This window comes from Homo sapiens, chromosome 8, assembly GCF_000001405.40.
Source record: "Homo sapiens chromosome 8, GRCh38.p14 Primary Assembly".
In the NCBI taxonomy this organism is placed as follows: domain Eukaryota; kingdom Metazoa; phylum Chordata; class Mammalia; order Primates; family Hominidae; genus Homo; species Homo sapiens.
This window is the reverse complement of record NC_000008.11, coordinates 99530991-99551715: the sequence shown is the minus strand read 5'-3', so window position 1 is coordinate 99551715 and position 20725 is coordinate 99530991. Positions and strand designations below refer to the sequence as shown.

Genomic DNA, 20725 nt, shown 5'->3' with positions numbered 1-20725 from the left:
GATAAAATGTTCTAAGTTTCTTGTATTGTTGAAGAAGAAGAAAAAGATATTAACTTCAGACTTCTGTTAAGTACACATGTTAACATAGCCAGAGTAGCCACTAAAATAACAGATATGGAACACATAACTTCCAAATAAATAAAAATTAGAATGTCAGAAATGAAAAACCAAAGTTGGGCAAGTAGAAAGCACCTAAGAAGAAGATACAAATAAAAATCCAAACATAATAAGCAGCATAAATATAAATAATTTAAACTCTCCCATTAAAAGATAAGAACTGTCAGATTGCATTTAATAAATCAATCAATATTCTGTTTTTTATGAGGCACACCTAAAACTTTAGGGCACAGAAAGAGTCAACATATGCAAAAATATATACTAAGCAAACATTTGACAAAAAACTTAAGTAATTAAATTTACATTACATTATACAACATAGACTTTAACTCTATTTAAAAATAGTTACTGCCTGAAGACAAAAGATTCAGTACATTTGGAGGTTAAGACAATTCTAAATTTATTTGTAAAAACAGCCTCAAAACATATAAAAGAAAAACTGATAGCTCTACAAGGAGAAACTGACAAATCTGTCCTCCATGGTGGAAAACTTTAACCCTCTAAGCAGGTAAGAAGAAAAATACAGAAAAATTGAAAAACATAATATGTGTGATGAGGTGAACATTTACAGAACACAGTATCTGACAACTGGAGAATACATATTTTTCTCAAGCACACAGGAACATTTATAAAATCCGACAACCTGCTAGGCCATAAAGCTAGCCTCAGTACATTTCAGTGAATTAGTATCATATAGACTGTATCCTCTGAGCACAATACAATTCAGTTAGATATTTTATTAAAGAAGAGAATTCACAAAACTGCTTATGTTTAGAAATTTTAAAACACACTTCTAAATGAGTCATCCACTGGTCAAAAAAATCATAATAAAAGTTAATACTTAAAAGCAAATGTTATGCATTAAACATTGTAGGATGCAGTTCAAGTGGCACAGGATAATTTATTGTCTAAAATACTAGTTTTAGCAAATAAAAAAGTCTCAATAAGCTGAACATAAAAAGTAGAATAAACTAAAAGAAAGAGGGAAGGATATAGAGCACAATAAAAAAGATCAACAAAGCCAAAAATAGACAAATTTCTAGCATTAAAGGGAAAAAAAGATAAAGATAGAAGGCAAAATATACTATTCGCAAGAAAAAAGGAAACATAACTAGGATGTTGTGAAGATTAAATAGTTAAATGAATAGGAAGATTTATAGCAACAAAGATTTTACGGCTTACTGTGAAAAAAAAAAAAAATCTCTCCTAGTCGTCACTGTCCCTAGAAGATATTTCTATTAATATAGCGTCCTCTAATTTCTCCTACCAAATATAACATTACTTCTTCTATAACTCTTTTTCTACATGAAAATGACTCTATTTTAAAACCATATTGTTATAAAATAAAACTGCTAGTAAAGTAGTAAGTGGTATAAAGCAACCAGTTTCTTCCCTACTCATAGCCTTAGTCAGGACTTCAAAATTATATTCTCCTATCAAAACAGCCCTTCCTCCAGTGACCTGACTTGCATTATTTATTGGGCACTGTATGTCAGGTATTGTGATAGGCCCTAAGAATAATAGGTCCCTGGATGGTCCCTGCCCTCATAACACTTACAGTCTAATGTGGGATTTAGAGGCAATTATACAACACTTAATACTCCAAAAGGTTATGTATAAAATAAAATTGGAAGCACATAGAAGGGACACCTGACCCAGACTTGGGAGGCCCAGGAAAGAGGAAGGCAACATAGAAACAAGTTCAAAAAAGCCCAGTTATCTCATTTCATACAAGAAAGAATCTCCAGCAGAGGAAGTAGCAGGTTCAAAGGCTGAAAGGTGTGAGGCAGTAGCACATCTAGAAACCCTGAAAAGGCTCTGAACAGCGGGCCTGGAGAGAGGCAGGGGAGAAAGCAATGGTATAAGGCATGGAGGTTTCCAGCCAAAGACAGGCCGTTTTGTACCAACTATCAGAGACTTGTATGAGGCCCAGTGTTTGAGGAAGAGGTGCAGCCCACAAGATGGGCTTGCCTTGCAAACTGGCATTTTATCCCGTGCCAAATAGGTTGCATAAATTCTGTAGTAGCACAATAGCCAAGAGGAGAGAAAAACCTGGGTTTCTGTCTTAATTATGAAAATTAAGTGAGATAATATAGAGAGAGCCTGGCACAGAAGTCATCACATCATAAAAACTTCAAAAATTGTCAGGAAAAAAAACCCTACTTTGAAATCTTTCCTCAGACTCTGTATAAAATGTCAAATAGAAGTAAAATGACTGGAAAGTGAGAATAAGACAGACTTAGCTGGATAAAGCACGTACTAGGATTCTAAAAAGAAACAACAGCTGAGCAGAGAACACCAGTGATACTCAATTTAATAAATCAAACTCAATGAATTCTACCCACATTTTCTAATTTGATCTGTTTCATCAACTTAACAGTGTTTTAACAGTATGCTGGTTAGTATGCAATAGACCTCTTACTTTCTAAGCCAAGAAAAACTTTATTGTGGAAAATTTAGGCGAAATAAAAATATTCTTGCATCTTTAAAACACAGTTTCTTCAACAATCTTAGTCTCCTGAGCTATCAAAACCAGGAAACATCAATGTATCTCCTCTGTAGATAGTTTTCCAAGTACAAATGAAAATTTCTATTACAAATTATAAAGGTAGACCATTTAGCTTATTGGTTTGAGTTAATAAAATATTATATTTTGAAGAATTAGCTAATATGTATAAAATTTACAAGTTTGGTTTAATTTTTCTCTAATAAAACAAATACAGGATAGTTTTTTTAGGCAGATAAAAATTTAATTTTTCTTTCTTATTACATAATCCCCAAGATTTATTTTTCTTTATCGTTATAAGAAAATACAGTAGTAATGCACTGATTTACTTCATTTTCCAAAAAATAGGAGGATTTTTTCCCTCAACTTGAAATAGTCACTAATCTCTATTTTTTAATGTGTAAGATATACTCCTGTTTTGTCCTATACATACTTAAAACCAATTTCGGTTATTATGAAATATTAAAAGCATTTTTGCTTTTTCAATATGAAATTAAGAAAACATATTCAAAATGTTTTCAAATACCATATGCTAGCTTTTCAAAATTTTTATTTTTAATGAAAAATCATAATGTATAAATTTATGGGGTACATTAACTTTCATTAAGCAATATTAAGGCAAGATGTCTTCTGAAAGATATTTCACATCTCATGGCTCACTAGAGTTTTTTTAAAGTTTTTGGTAAATAGTTACAGACACAAGATTCACAAATAATTTATTTTTTCAAAGACTGAAAATCATTTTACAATTTTACAGCTCCCTTCCCTAAGAAAAGAACTTTATAACTTAAAAATAAGACTTGTAGGAGTGAAAAACATTCTGATTACAATGCCAAAAATGAAAGTATATTTTATTCAAGAGAACTTTGATTTAGTACACCAAGTTTTCCTAGCACAAACAACAATTGCAGAATAATTAGAGCAAAGAATTCTAATAGAATGATACTTTACTAAGCAGCTAATCATAGGTAAAGGACTATAGCTGGTCCTATGGTGAGGACCAGAATGCCTAATGTTAACGTCTGCCTTAAAAAATACAATGTAAACATCTTATAATAAAAAAGCGTTATATTGTTGTTTCATTTACTAATTAAATGTTTCCTAGAAATGTTTGCTATCATAAACAGGACTTAAATTTTCTGGTCTCAACTTCACATACTTCTAAAAGCTCTATGAACTTTGCTGTCTCCTTATTGCAGCCTTTAAAACCTTGTAGCAATTCAAATCAGGAAAGGGGGTGAATCAAGAAGCCCATGACTTCCTTATCCTTAGCACAAAAAGCTGCTTTATTGGCTACAATGTAGGAGTTATAATTGTAATTGCTTTGCCCTTCCGAAACTCTTATCCCATACCATTTGAACCATTCAGCAGGTGGTGTAGGAGGATAAAGTCTGCAATAGTTGGTCGATAATGTAATCATAAGGAACCAAAGAAGACTTTAAGTATATAACAGGAAACATAGCTTTAATGTTTTCCTTTTTAAATTGATTTAGTCTGGGTCAGGCCTTTTGTATGTTTACATAAGGAACAGCTCATGTTGAACCATTTACTACTCACTGCTGAATAGGCATATCTCGGGAATTCACTGTAAAGAAGTGAAATTCATTCACTTATAGCTCAATTGAGATCCACAAAATGTTAAATAAGGCAGAAAATAGGAATGAAAAAGAAGTAAAACTTTTATGCCTTGATTAAATTAAATGTCTACATATTTATCACCAAGTCTCCATAAGTGACAGTAATTTTGAGAGTAAATAGGACAGGGGATATAATAATTGTCTGTCAGACTGAAACAAATGCTGAGTTCCATCACCAACGATTAGGGCAGGAGTACTAATCTTCAGAGTGCAGAAGAATCACCCAGGGAGTTTGTTCAAAATATTCAGCTCCCATCTTTAGACATTATGATTCAGAAGGTCTGGACTAGGCTGAGGAACATGCCCTCTTTTCCCTTTTTTATCTAAACTAGCATCCCTATTGATTCTCAAAACCACATTCTGATACTTGGGTCATTACAGCTCTCTAACTTTGAACAATGTATCTCTGCTATCTGAACCAAGGTGAGCACAGATAAGGTCCCCAAATGTTCATAGTACATTACTTTTTAAAAGTCAAGTTCTACTTAATTTTCTAAATAATTTCCATAATAAGAAAAAATCATAGAAAAATATTTATGAAAAGTAAATTGTGGCTAAATTAAACTGTACGTAAACAAGTACTAATTCCAAACTGTTTGGGAAACCTTTAATAACAATTCTAACAAAGATATCTCCCTTTATCTCTTAACCAAATTCATTTTTATTACTATGTCTCTAATTATATCACTTAAATTTTTTTCTCTTTAATTACATTCTTTCATTTCCAGTCATTCCAATTCTACTACCAAATTATGAAGAGCTTTGTAATACAAAATACAGAAATACATAAATGATAGTAATAATATTAATAATGCCACTTTACATTTGATTACAGTTTAATGGTTTGCAAAGGGGTTTCAATATTATGTAGATAAATCACAACTCACAGGGTGCTATAGGTAGACTTCATTTTACAGATGCTGATGATTTAGGTAAGGAGGATGAGAAACAGCATAGTCCAAATGGGAAACCACACCTTCTGACTATAAATTCAGTCCCCTCTTGTCGCCTACGTTCTGTACCTAACAATATGAGAACTAGCCTTCAAAATAAAATGTAAAACTATGCTTTATTTAAATGTATTTGTATGTTGTTGGATGAAAAACTGTAAGACTTCAAATTAAACATGATAAAGACTAATTCCAAGGCAACAGATTAGAATTGATTTAAAACAGGAAATTTGAGGAGGAAAAAAAAAACCTTTAGATGTGGTATATAACAAATCAACTCCCTTTAAAAAAATGTTGTCACATTATTTAACATGGTTTTTAATGTATGGAGTTACTTCCGACTCACAAATATTATAAAATCGGTCAAGAAGAAAGAATAGGAACAGAAGTTAGTATTCTCAAACTTACAATAATCATTAAGCAATTCTCTATTTGTAAAGAAAGGTATGAATTTTTAAAAATACAGCAACAGTCCATAAAATCTCTTAATGTATGATGTTAAAATATGAATAACTTAATTTGCAAATTAATCAGAATAAAGATAGTTTCTTTAAGGAAAAGTATCAATCATGATCTTCTAGTTAGCAACAAGGGCTACATAGTCTAACATTTGATTAGAAAATTTAATATATTTTCCTGACAGTAGCACAATGCCCTTCAATTGCCATACATTAGAAAGCATATCTAATCATACTAGGTACCATCCATTAGTTTATCACCTCCAGTTGTAGAGAGAAAATATCTTTCCTTAAACATCATCCACAAATATCTAGTACTAAGATAATCCTAAGTGTATAGTGCCTAATGCAACAGTATTAAGGCTGTTTGCCAGAGAGCCACGAAACTCTTATACTCAGCAATTGAGAATATAAATCTGACACAATTTCGTGAAATCTATCAGCATTGAGGCTATGTAACCTATCACCTAGCAATTAAACTCCTAGATACATAACCCAGAGTTATGCTGCCCAATAGCTACCAGCTGTATATGTCTCTTTAAAATTAATTAAAATTAAATACAATTTAAAAAATTTAGCTCCTTAATTCCTTGAGTCATAGTGTAGTAGTTACATGGCTAACGGCTACTGTATTAGTTACAGTAGTTACAGTAGATAATGGCTACTGTATTAGTGCAGATACAGAAATTTCCACTATCACAGGACATTCTACTAGAAGGCACTGCCCTAGAAAAACTATTACATGTGCGTACAAGGAGAATGTTGAAGAATATTCATTTTAACACTACAAGTGATACAGAAAAATTAAAAACGTAAATCTCCACCAACAGAAGGAATGACATAATAACTTGGCATATTCATGCAATAGAATATCACAGTAAAAATCTATGAATGAAATTATGTTTGTCCAAGTGATGAGTCTTACATGGCAGAGTTTAAAAAGCAAGGTACAGAACAGAGGAAGGTGGTGGGCATAGAAAAAGCATTTTCTTGTACTCTATATTGTTTTGATATAGTTGTTTCAATAAAAAGGCCAAACAGAATTATGGTGTAGTGGTTCAGAGCACAAACTAGCTGTGTGATCTTAGGCATCCCTGAGCTTCGTTTTCTCCACTGTAAAATGAATTACAGCACTGAGTAGTGCCTAAGGATTTGGTGAAATCTAAAGGAGGGAATATATAAAAAAGTACTCTGTAACCTGTAAAATGCTATCTAAATGCTAGCTACTAATATGGCCTATTATTAGGCAGGGCTTGAAACAAGTTGAAAATTATCTGGGGATTTTAAGTTGATATAAACCTCTTGTGTAGCTGGGATAAGGATGCTTGTAAAGGTTTATTGTTGTTGTTGTTGTTTTGCAGCACATACAAAATTACAATTTCTCATTTCATCAGTGGTATTTTACTTATTTAATTTTGCATAAGCAAAAAGCGGTAGGTAGAATTCTTTCCACAATTCAATCAATATATTAAATACTATAGTCAGACTAAGCACTAAGCAATCATTTCAAAAACATTCAATAAGTATAATAATTACGGCTGAATTATAAAATTCAGTAAATACTTCTGAATTTTTTTTATTATTATTATACCTTAAGTTTTAGGGTACATGTGCACATTGTGCAGGTTAGTTACATATGTATACATGTGCCATGCTGGTGCGCTGCACCCACTAACTCATCATCTAGCATTAGGTATATCTCCCAATGCTATCCCTCCCCCTGACCCCCACCCCACAACAGGCCCTGCTGTGTGATGTTCCCCACCCTGTGTCCAAGTGTTCTCATTGTTCAGTTCCCACCTATGAGTGAGAACATGCGGTGTTTGGTTTTTTGTTCTTGCGATAGTCTACTGAGAATGATGGTTTCCAGCTTCATCCATGTCCCTACAAAGGACGTGAACTCATCATTTTTTATGGCTGCATAGTATTCCATGGTGTATATGTGCCACATTTTCTTAATCCAGTCTAGCATTGTTGGACATTTGGGTTGGTTCCAAGTCTTTGCTATTGTGAATAGTGCCGCAATAAACATACGTGTGCATGTGTCTTTATAGCAGCATGATTTATAGTCCTTTGGGTATATACCCAGTAATGGGATGGCTGGGTCAAATGGTATTTCTAGTTCTAGATCCCTGAGGAATCGCCACACTGACTTCCACAATGGTTGAACTAGTTTACAGTCCCACCAACAGTGTAAAAGTGTTCCTATTTCTCCACATCCTCTCCAGCACCTGTTGTTTCCTGACTTTTTTATGATTGCCATTCTAACTAGTGTGAGATGGTATCTCATTGTGGTTTTGATTTGCATTTCTCTGATGGCCAGTGATGGTGAGCATTTTTTCATGTGTTTTTTGGCTGCATAAATGTCTTCTTTTGAGAAGTGTCTGTTCATGTCCTTTGCCCACTTTTTGATGGGGTTGTTTGTTTTTTTCTTGTAAATTTGTTTGAGTTCTTTGTAGATTCTGGATATTAGCCCTTTGTCAGATGAGTAGGTTGCAAAAATTTTCTCCCATTTTGTAGGTTGCCTATTCACTCTGATGGTAGTTTCTTTTGCTGTGCAGAAGCTCTTTAGTTTAATTAGATCCCATTTGTCAATTTTGGCTTTTGTTGCCATTGCTTTTGGTGTTTTAGACATGAAGTCCTTGCCCATGCCTATGTCCTGAATGGTAATGCCTAGGTTTTCTTCTAGGGTTTTTATGGTTTTAGGTGTAACGTTTAAGTCTTTAATCCATCTTGAATTGATTTTTGTATAAGGTGTAAGGAAGGGATTGAGTTTCAGCTTTCTACATATGGCTAGCCAGTTTTCCCAGCACCATTTATTAAATAGGGAATCCTTTCCCCATTGCTTGTTTTTCTCAGGTTTGTCAAAGATCAGATAGTTGTAGATCTGCGGCGTTATTTCTGAGGGCCCTGTTTTGTTCCATTGATCTATATCTCTGTTTTGGTACCAGTACCATGCTGCTTTGGTTACTGTAGCCTTGTAGTATAGTTTGAAGTCAGGTAGTGTGATGCCTCCAGCTTTGTTCTTTTGGCTCAGGATTGACTTGGCAATGCGGGCTCTTTTTTGGTTCCAAATGAAATTTAAAGTAGTTTTTTCCAATTCTGTGAAGAAAGTCATTGGTAGCTTGATTGGGATGGCACTGAATACTTACAAAGTACCAGACAAGTTTTAAATGTTTTATATGCATTAATTTATGTAATCCTCATAACAACCCTATGAGGTAGGTAGTATTATCATCCCTGTTTTACAAATAAAATTGAGGGAGTTAAGTGCTGTATGTTGGCTGAGGTCACTTGGAAAGGCTGTGCTCTTTAAACACTTACTATGTACTTGGCACTGTAATTAATTCTCCCAAAATGGTTCAAACCTGATCAAAAATACTTAAGGGCTCTCCATCCACCTATGTAATAAAGCACAAATTCCTTAACCAGGAATTCAAAGCTGCCACAGTCTGATCTCAATCACTTGTCCCCACATCTCTCTCATTATGCCCCAATAACAAGTACTCTGATACAAAAAACAAGCATCCTCATGTCTCTAAGTGTACCATGCTTTATTTCTGCCTCTATTTTCTGACCACCTTCTTTTCCTCTACCTGGCCTATTTGCCACAGCTCAACATATTCTTCAAAGTCTCACCTATTTCCAACTCTTCCACTGAGTTTTGCAGTGGCTACTATAGCACCAAGAAACCTCTCTGAGAAAATCTCCCTTATCCACTAACCATAATCAAGATGTGATAAATTATATAGATATTATTAGGACCCTCTATTATTCTAAAGAGCAATGATGTGACAAGAAATTCTGATGATGTCCATGTCAATAATAAAGGCCGGGCTTAAGCCTTTATTATTGCTTAGGCCAGGCACGGTGGCTCACGTCTGTAATCCCAGCACTTTGGGAGGCCAAGGCGGGCGGATCATGAGGTCAGGAGACGGAGACCATCCTGGCTAACACGGTGAAACCCCATATCTACTAAAAATACAATAATGAAGGTACATACTTTGAAGAAATGTGCTAGCTATGTTCCAAGGTTTGGCATTAGAATTTGCTTCTTTTGAAAACTTTTCCCTGTAGAAACTTAATCCTGCAAGTGGAGGTTCTAGAAAGGTCTCCATTACATCTAGGATTAAACACTATTCAGATTTCCAGCAATAATTATGTTTAACATATTATATATTATTACTGATAAGAACTTCAAGTATAATATTTTATCCATGCATTCAGGAATTAATAAAGCTGAGAACAGATCACCACCTATTTCACTTGGGAAATGAAACACCATTAGGGCATTCTTAATAAAAAGATACATTTTTTTCTTAAGGAAAAATTAGAATGTAAAAATCTTTTTCCCCATCTTATCCACCAAAGTATGGAGATAGATTTATTTACTTTCGGCATGAATGTTTTAACATGGCAAGAGTTATACAAATATGGGAATAATAAATGTGCTATGCCTTGTTGTCACTCAGTGGGAGTTGAACAATGAGAACACATGGACACAGGGAGGGGAACATCACACACCGGGGCCTGTCCGGGTGCAGGGGGAAGGGGAAGAAGAGCATTAGGACAAACACCTAATGCATGCAGAGCTTAAAACCTAGATGACAGGTTGATAGGTGCAGCAAACCACCACGGCACATGTATACCTATGTAACAACAAACCTGCATGTCCAGCACGTGTAATCCAGAACTTAAAGTTAAAAAAAAATGTGCCATGCTTATTCTTAAGAATATAAAAAAGTTGATTTAGTACCATATCAAAAGCTTTAGCCACATAGGGTTGACTTTAGTCAGAAAATACCAAATATTTCATGAAAATATTTAAACTATATTGTCTATTCTGTTTATAAATTCTTATATAAGTTTTAATTGATACCAGAAAACAATATTCTTTGGTAATCTTAAAAACAGATAAGTAATACTAAAATACAGTATATAGGGTATAAATATATTACCCCTAGAGATTTTCTAAGCTATAATTAAAACAGAAAACACATAGGGAGAATTGAGGCAACATATAAAAAAGTCACAATGTACATTTGGCAGTTTTTATAAGCAGAATAACGACTAAAAAGTATTTAATCTTAGTATTTGTGCTTCTATACCATGACTCTATACACTTTAAGAAAATAACCCTGTAATAGAAAAGAAAACACCGAGCAATAGCAAAGACAAACATTTAAAACATGAAAGTACAGTTATTCGAAATAGGGCCTCGAAACCACAATAAAAATCCACAGAACAATTATGCAGTTTTTAGATTTTGGTTACAAAAGAAATGCAAAAACAAGAAAGTTTTTGTATCTTTCAAAAGAAATACAAAAGAAACTGAGATAATATAGAATATTATTTTACTGATAAATTCTTCAGTTTCAAAAATTTAGTTCTAAAAATGACATGGTCAAAAGTGGAGAAATAGCTAGGAAATATTCTATGAATAAAATTGAGACATGAAAGTCTTGTGAAAAAGGATATTCTTCACACCTTAGCATATGTGCTGAGGCAAAAGCATTCAATATAAACTTTATGAACTGAGAACAATGAGGTCAAACAGCTAGCTGTGAAAGAGATGCTACAAAAATGACTCCCAATTTAGCTGGTGATGAATTTTAGATCTCTTTTTTCATTAATTCTGTAAAGTATTCCTTAAAAATAGAAATGCTTAGGCCGGGCGCAGTAGCTCACGCCTGTAATCTCAGCACTTTTGGGAGGCTGAGGCGGGTGGATCATGAGGTCAGGAGATCGAGACCATCCTGGCTAACATGGTGAAACCCCATCTCTACTAAAAATACAAAAAATTAGCCAGGTATGGTGGCGGGTGCCTGTAGTCCCAGCTACTTGGGAGGCTGAGGCAGGAGAATGGTGTGAACCCAGGAGGCGGAGTTTGCAGTGAGTCGAGATCGCACCACTGCACTCTAGCCTGGGCGACAAAGTGAGACTCCGTCTCAAAAAAAAAAAAAAAAAAAAAAAAAAAAAAAAAATATATATATATATATATATATATATATATATATATATATATATATATATAATTTATTTATATATTTATATAACTCATTTATTTCTATAAGCATTTTTATATATAAATGCTATATATAAATATAATGTATAAATATAAATATGTGTGTATATATATATATAAATGCTTATAGAAATAAATGAGTCCTTTTCTGTTTTATGGTACAAAAAAGAAAAAAAGAAACAGAATATACTTCCAATAAGTTAGCATCAATACTTATTTGCAGGCATCTTTTCCATTACCAATTTATTTAAATACATCTATTCATTATATCAAATTAATTCTTTTTCTCAAGAAATGAGGTCTGTTGCCCAGATTGGAGTGCAGTGGCATGATCATAGCTCATTGCAATCTTGAACTCCTGGGCTCAAGTGATCCTCCAGCCTCAGCCTCCCAAGTAGCTGGAACTACAGGTGTGTACCTGGCTAATGTTTTAATTTTTTGTAGAGACAGGGTCTTGTTTTGCTGACCAGGTTGGTATCAAACCCCTGGCCTCAAACAATACTCCCACCTTGGCCTCCCAAAATGCTGGAATTACAGGCATGAGCCATGGCACTGGCCTAATTTTTATTATGTATCAATAATTCCTTCTCCAAATACTCTGTCTGCAATTCATATTTTGTGGACATTAATAAATCACATTTACATTAAAATACAATATAAAATACAAAAATTATAATCATACATCATTCTTATTAAATATTAATGTTTTTGAATTATACATGTTGTATATCTATATTTTAATATGCTGCAAGATAATGCAAAAGAATGTGCAGAAAATTATTGTACCTATTTTTTAAAGGCCAATTATTTACAAATTAATGGTGAAAGGCCTCAGTTATTTTTAAAATTTTCTTCACATTGTTCTTCATTATGCTTACAATGTAATCATCATCATTTAGATCTTAAATATTAATATCATAAGCCATGACTTGAAAAGTGAGTAAGCTATGACGACAATAGCTTAATTTATAAAACTGGTGAAATACTTTCTTATGGAATAAAATAAATGCAGGCACTACATTGCTACACTGAGGACATAAAAAATTCTGTGAGTTCTTCCTTTATAATCTAAATGTGCCATGTATTTCTTTGCCTAGAGAAAATGTTTACAAGAAATCAATTAATATACTTTAAGTATAATGATAAAGTCAATTAAACTATGTTTCATGAAGGTAAAGATTATGAATAATTTTGTCACCAGTGCAGCTTTACAGCTAGCAAATAGCTAGCGAATGGTAGGTGTTCACAAGTTATTCTAAAGAAATCAATAAGTAAGATAATAAAATTGATTCTTTATGCATGGAGGAAAGACAATTTATTTTATCACATGAAGATCCTTTTAGGCATTTAGCTTTATTCAAATTAATGTATTAATGATATATCCAGTATCAGCATTGAAAGAGACAGAAGGCAAATACCAAAAATATCTGGATACTCACATGCGGGAAAAGATGAAACTGGCTCTTCAAATAAACAACCCTCAAACACACACACACTCAGACACAGATAAACACACATATCCCAAAACAGAGCATATATTCCTTTAGAGCTATCATTGTCAAATTGTCAAGTGCTAAATGACTAATGGGTGAACAAATGATATAAAAGTTTTAAAAAAACCCAAAAGCAAATTTAGAGGGCATAGAAAGATAAAGATGAAAGAATAAAGAACCTACTTTTACATATTTTAAACTGAATAAATATTTAAAAACCTAAACATTTAAAGGAATATCTGAATATGTGATCTCAGAATAACAAAGAACATGTATAATCATCACATTTTGTTTCATTAAAGGTATATAATATTGCTGACAGCAATTTTGTCAATTCTTATTGCCTCTAAGACTCACATCCAGGAAAACTACCATGTAAAGCTAGTTTCCATCTTGAACTTTATATACCCACAGGTAATTGTGGGAAGAAAATGCTGATTTAAAAACAAGGACTAAAAGGTAAAGTGAGGAAACCTAAAGAGCATCTGTCGACAGTAATGCTAGTACTAGCAGGTCTCCAATGTTGAATAATCTCTTTCATGAGAATCACAATCACTAGGTCGATTTTCCAATTATAAGAAATATTTTAATGAAAATGAGACATAGTTGTTTAAAAGAAAACAGTACCTTAATTATGATAATGCTGCTAGGTATAGTTAATGACCCTACACATTAAGGAAGGTTGAACTTTAATGACCTGGACCACACCAGGGTCACAAATAGTAGCAAAACACTGATCATCATATAAAAGCCACCACCAAACACATGAAAAGAATTACAGTACATCACACATCAAACATTTTGGCCTGGTGCTTCCTTCCTCTAATTCTACTGGCAGGAAACACTCTACTTATCCTTTGAGGTGATCAGACACATTTAAAAGTAGTCCCTTGTTAAAAAGAGCTCTCGGATACTGCAATTTTCTCCAAAGAGGAGGGCAACTTCTGTTTAGCACTGTTGCAATACATTTCCATTTGCAGCGTAGAAGTCGAGCTCCACTGATAAGGTACTGTAACTGCATAATGTAATTTCTTCTTTGAGGGTTAAACTATGGAGAACAAACCTGAAAGATGTTTTCGCATTGTATATGATATAGAATCAGGCAAATTCACCTATAAATGTTATAGATTTAACTATTTTATTATAGATATGTATAAATGAAGTATTATTATAAGTAAACGTTTTGACCTACATCACCATAGAAGTTAGCTTTTCACCCAAATATATTTACAGCACTAGAATAAATTTTTAAAAATCTTTTTCAAACATGCCTATACTTTAACTTGGACAATGTACAAATGATTTTAGTGCACTATTCCAAAAAAGGCTGCTAAATTTTTGATGATAGACATTTTCAAATTAAATAAATGAAATTGGGAAAAAAATAGTGAGAGATTCAGACCGATGGACAATTTTACCAGGTGGATATACGTTATTATTTGAAAAAAAGGATTAAAAAATCAAAACATATTTGATTTTGTTTTATTCTACAGTATAAATATATTTACAGCATAATTTGACATGGTTTACCAGAAGGACAAGATATTAATTACTTTTCTGTATATCTCATTAATATAAGTTCTATCATCGAACTGAACAATAACACTGCAATTCTGTAACTCTATGCATGTTACTTTTTTTCCCTAGTTTTTGGAAAATTCTTAAAGTTTAGTGGTACTATACCTCAGTTTTATCAGGTGTTCTTAAAATCACCTGGAAACACTGAGGTTGTGTCTCACTGAACATAAGCTTCGTGACTTCTATTCAGAACTTTAATGACTGGGAATACGTTTAATGCCAAAGACATGCTGTCCACAGTGTGTTTGATAAGCTGACATGGGACAGGGATTCTTTTCACTGTTGTGTCAGTTTATCAAACCCATACTTGGATGACAGTCAATTCAGTTAAAGGATAATGGGGTCCCAGGATACAAAACATTATTTCCTTTACAGAAGCTATGCACTCTATGTTGTACAAATGCCACACACATATGTATATGACATTTTTCACTAAATAACTATGGTATTAAGTGAAATTGATAAAAATTGGCTCAAAAGCTCATGCTACAGCCAGTTATTAGGGTATATGCTAGGAATTTATCTAATGAATGAAGATGTTACAAATTATAATGTTTAATCTTCATATATGGATTTTTAATTTTTTTCCTTATGGTTGCATTCAGAGATTTACATGGAAAATACCAGAGTGGATAATATATTATTTGATATTAAAGTTTAAAACTAAAGTCTAAAATTGTGCTTTAAATTCTGATTAAAATCAGGCCGGGCACGGTGGCTGGCATCTGTAATCCCAGCACTTTGGGAGGCCAAGGCAGGCGGCTCACCTGAGGTGAGGAGTTCAAGACCAGCCTGACCAATATGGTGAAACCCTGTCTCTACTAAATATACAAAATTAGCTGGGCATGGTGACGTGCGCCTGTAATCCCAGCTACATGGGAGTCTGAGGCAGGAGAATTGCTTGAACCTGGGAGGCAGAGGTTGCAGTGAGCCAAGATCGTGCCATTACAATCCACTCTGGGCAAAAAGAGCAAAACTCCATCTCAAAAAAAAAAAAAAAATTTGGATTAAAATCATTTATATTTTGAATTATATGATCTGACATTGGCTCAGAAATTATTTCAAGTAGATTTACAGATGACAACCTATGTTGAGATAAAAGTTTTCACAATGTAAACATTGATAATAACAGTTAGTTATGTCAAACCTAATACATAGTTACAGAGGTCAGAATAATGATTATCTTTGCACTACCAAATACAGGCTAGAATGAGAATGAGTAAGGTTTCTGGGGTGCTGGGTTGTGATAACATGTCTATATATATGTAAAACTTCATTCAACTGTATACAAATGATAAATATACTTTCCTATATGTAAGTTGTAACTCACTTTAAAAAATGAAAAAAGTAAAAAGAAAAAAATTAGCTATGCACTGACTTTTTACCCATTTTTAGGATCATGTTTGTATTTTTCATTACCTTTCTCAATGTAGAATGCTTTTCAGATATTTGGTTTTTGCTCAAAGTTCAATGTTAGAAATGATGAGCAAGGAAAATGTTTCAGATTGAGGAGCTATCTGTCTACACCACAGAGGATGGAAGTTCTTCAAACAGGATAAGTATTTCTAGTACACAAAACAGGCAAAATTATAGTGTTTATTCTAGGACAGTGACCTCAGTGAACACAGAATACAATACAACATAAAGTAAGCATATATATTTAAGACTTATTGTTTAAATTAGTATTTTGGAAAATAATTATTTACTTGCTTTCATGTAAAAATTATTAGGATTTTTTTGGTAACAGCATTTTATCTTACCAAGGCTTAGCAGTGCTCTTATACAATGTGTAGAGGTAATTTATTATTAATTCTGCACATTAAATTAATTAATAGATGTCTGCTTCTTAATTTTCTTTTTAGTTAGCTTCTATTTTGGTTTAGGGGATATGAGGGGGCTGGCTGAAAATGGACACTAGTCAACAAAGGGTAAAATGGATCATTCTGAAATTGTAACTACAAAGCCAACACTGCTTCTCACATTTACAGGTTTCTCACACTTGAAGTTGGTCAAAGATTTTTTGAAAAATCTATCCATCCATTCATTCTGTTCAAGCCTTTTATGATGATGTGCAGGTTACACTATATGAATAGCTATAGGAATAAATTTGCAGGTTACTCTTTTGTTACAATATTTGATCTTTGTTATTAATGAGAAAAATGCAATTCTTCCTTTACATCAGACACTTAAGACAGTAGCACAATGTTTTACCATATTTTGGACAATTGTCTTATATGTTGGTGGTTATGGTGAACAGCCATCATATTCCAGAAGTCCCAAAGATGTATTTTAAAGGTACCCTATGCTTTCTCTCACTTGTCTTTAAACTCAGAGATGTTTAGATAATAATTTCACATGATAATGTTAGTGCCTCAATGAAAGTACACCAGCAGGAATGGTTATAGTAAGATATTATATATCCAGTGTACTTAATATAACCAAAATATATTAGAAAGAAGTATAAAATAGATTTTCCAAATTCGTAACACAAAACTGTTATGATGGGAACCCAAACATTCTATTATTCTGTAGCTTCTAACATGAATTTCTAGAAGAAAGTATAAAAGTGGCAATATAAAAGTAAATACATTTAAAAAACATTTCAAAAATTTATGATGGTAGAACTTATCGTCATTTTCAACACTGTTGTTGAGGTAGCTTTTGGCAGTAAATAGAAACCATATTCATGGAAACCTATATCCTGCTACAGGAAGCCACAAAAGATGCAGTTACTTTGGTGAGGGCCAAATGTAAATGCAAAGCCTTCAACTAAATCAGCAGAATACCATGACGCACTAAAACTCTGCCGATAATATTTTCAAACAAAGCTTTTAGGGAAGTTAATCTAAATACCTACTATCCCAATCTCTCTCTCTCTCTGACTTACTAAAAGGGAATTATTTGAAACCAACACTAACCATTATAGGATTAGGGTCATAATGTCACCAGATACGAAACATACCTTTGCCAAAAACCAAAACAAAGGTTATTTTGAGAATGCCTTTATATAATTAGGAAGAAATTAAAAGTTGGGAGGAGGAAGGAGGAAACAGTTTTGTGGGGATTTGTAGAATTTAATCTTAACACTGCATCTAGAAAATACAGCTCAGTGTTAAAGATGATAAGCTAGGTTTTAGGAGAAACCATAAAGATACATAAAGGAGAGATGCCATACCTTGAGTTACATTCATCAGGAATAAAGAAAGGCTATTATAAACATGTCCATAAAAAAGAATGGTTTTCCTATTTTAAAATAAACACAATGTGTTGAAGCATACAAACATAATTGTTAATGATGTTAAGCTCATCAATAAAAGAATGTTAATCTTGTCTATGATTTTCTATTGGTTATATTCCTCAATTTTCAACTGTTAAAGTATATATGTAAAACAAGACAAAAAATTTAGTTAATCTCAATCATGAATTTCATTGGTCACATTAATGTTACTTCATATTGGGAACATTAACCCTATGAAAAGTCAGAATGACCATTTAAAAATTAGTCAAGAGTATATACATAACAAGAGAAATGAATTTGGAGTTTAAAAATTTTTTTAAAGCTACTGTCAAGATTTTAATGCATGAAACAATTATGTCACTTGCAAATATCTGTATTTGGATCACTTGGTAGTTCCTCAAGGTCAATTTATTTAAAACCTTCAATAAGATACTTAATTTTTAGTAAACTATGATTTTAAAAATCTCAGTAAATTGGCCAGGTACGACGGCTCATGCCTGTAATCCTAGCACTTTAAGAGGCCAAGGTGGGCGGATCACCTGAAGTCAGGAGTTTGAGGCCAGCTTGGCCAACATGGTAAAACCCCATCTCTACTAAAAATACAAAAATTAGCCGGCGTGGTTGTGCGTGCCTGTAATCCCAGCTACCTGGGAGGCTGAGGGAGGAGAATCGCTTGAACCCGGGAGGTGGAGGCTGCAGTGAGCCAAGATTGCACCACTGCACTCCAGCCTGGCCGACGGAGTGAGACTCCATCTCAAAAAAAAAAAAAAAAACACCCCTCAGTGAATTGATTATGCATTTAAAAAATTAAAATACATTTTAGATTAATTTTAAAAAAACTTCTGCTAAGTTATATAAAACAGTAAATTTCTGCTGAAGAAGTGTGTATTTTTGTGTTAAATATTTATGCTATTAAAATTGAGCCGTTAGCATAAATATTTAACACAAAAAATACAATAAAATACAATGAAATAAAGTGAATATTTGTAATTAAAGTTAATTTTTCATCAACTATGTTAAAAATAAAGCATATTTTCACACTCTTCCTGTGGCTGAGGGTGTGTTATCAGACTCATAGTAAGAAACAGAGCAAACACTGTTGCAAAAGTTGCTCACAAAAAAAGCAATAAGCAGATGGAAAACAAATTCTGTATATACTTCTGGAAGAATTTTACTAACACATGTCTTCTAAGGGTGAAAAGTGAATCAGCTCCCTATCTTTTATAATTCTTTAAAGGTAAAATTTCATGGATTAAACTGCCACAGAACAGGGTACACCTTTCAGAAGTCTCACTTATAAAAGATGTCTTTCAAAAGTTTGCCAAAATTACTATGCAGTTTTCATATAATGCTTGTAGACATGTTTTATGAGAATGAAATTATCTATGGAGAAAAGGTAAAACCCATATCAGAATCAAATCTATTGGTACTGAATGCACTAAAAAGGATTAGCAAATGTCTGCAAAAAAATGTAAAACGGTTGAAAAACCTCACAATTGACGATGTTTAAAAAGGAGCTATGGAATAATTAGTCACAGATAAAATTCCAGAAGGGACTTCAGAAAACCCAGAAATATTCATGGCATGAACAAAAACCTATATGCAGAAGTTCACAAATGTTCAATTACAAGAAGAATATACTTCTCTCAAGTTAAAGATGAAAGTTAAAAAAAACTTTTTAATTAAAAATACCTCCGAAGTAAAAAGCTCTGCTTTTAATATTTTAAAGTTCTGTTATAACAAATGAAATACTCTTGAAAAAAGTATGAGGTAAATTATGTTACAATCACTATTTTAAAAAATCTATTTGAATAGGTATGAAGAGCTTTTGTTAATATTTTATAAAATATGACAGAGCAATGATATAGGTGGTCGATATATACTGTTAGATGACTTCCAAATTTATATATCTAATTCTATAAACTCTATATTCAGATATGTAGCTTGAACACAGTATTTCTCAATTGCACAAGATTAGTGGGAAGAAAAAAATCTAAGTTACTAGAAGCCTTCATAACATACTTAGTCAACTTTGCTATAATTTTGCTATATAAAAAATACATGTGAAAATAGTCATAATTGTTTTAAAATAAAACCAATATTTTTTACCACAATTTATAAAAATACTGATATGTAAGTATACAATGGGATGAAGAGAGATATTTAACAAAAGTTTTAACATCTCTTTTTCTTTCATAATTTTGAGACAACTAGATTAATAACTAAATTTTACTAGGAGAAAAGAGAAAAGATTCATAACACTTCTGTTTTATAATGACTTTTAAATATCTCCTATAAATAAAAGCCACAAAATATATTGACTTTGTTAATCAGATACAACATCTATGTAAATATTTATCTGGTCATTACTCATCTCAGAGCTCATAAGAGATGTGAGAAAAACCTTGATGGCAATCAAAATCATTAGCTACGGAGCTATATTTGTAGAATAAATGCAGTATTAAGCACATTCTGATGAAAATTCTCTAAAAACGGATTGCATGTTCAAGTACCTTCAAGGACCAAAGAGCTCAAACACTGGGATTATAAATGTTTTCATTATAAATTGTGGTTTGAAGGTTATAATATTAAGTCCATCCTAGCTAAGACTATTTTAAGGAACACAAGGAGAATGCACTACAAATGGTACTTACTAGTTTTTTGGAACATTTAAATAATAACAAAATTTAATGGAATATAAATTTGAAACTTCAAAAATAAGT

At 32.7% G+C, this 20725-nt stretch overlaps 1 protein-coding gene and 2 non-coding genes across 4 annotated transcripts in view; 2 read left to right on the top strand and 1 right to left on the bottom strand.

Annotated features, from left to right (window-relative positions):
• VPS13B (vacuolar protein sorting 13 homolog B) overlaps positions 1-20725 on the bottom strand; it is an 864307-nt gene that overhangs the window by 325865 nt on the left and 517717 nt on the right. The window lies entirely within an intron of this gene.
• MIR875 (microRNA 875) lies at positions 14855-14930 on the top strand. The gene has a single exon (NR_030596.1). It is a non-coding gene; the product is annotated as a microRNA 875 (primary transcript).
• Positions 14986-15080, top strand: MIR599 (microRNA 599). The gene has a single exon (NR_030329.1). It is a non-coding gene; the product is annotated as a microRNA 599 (primary transcript).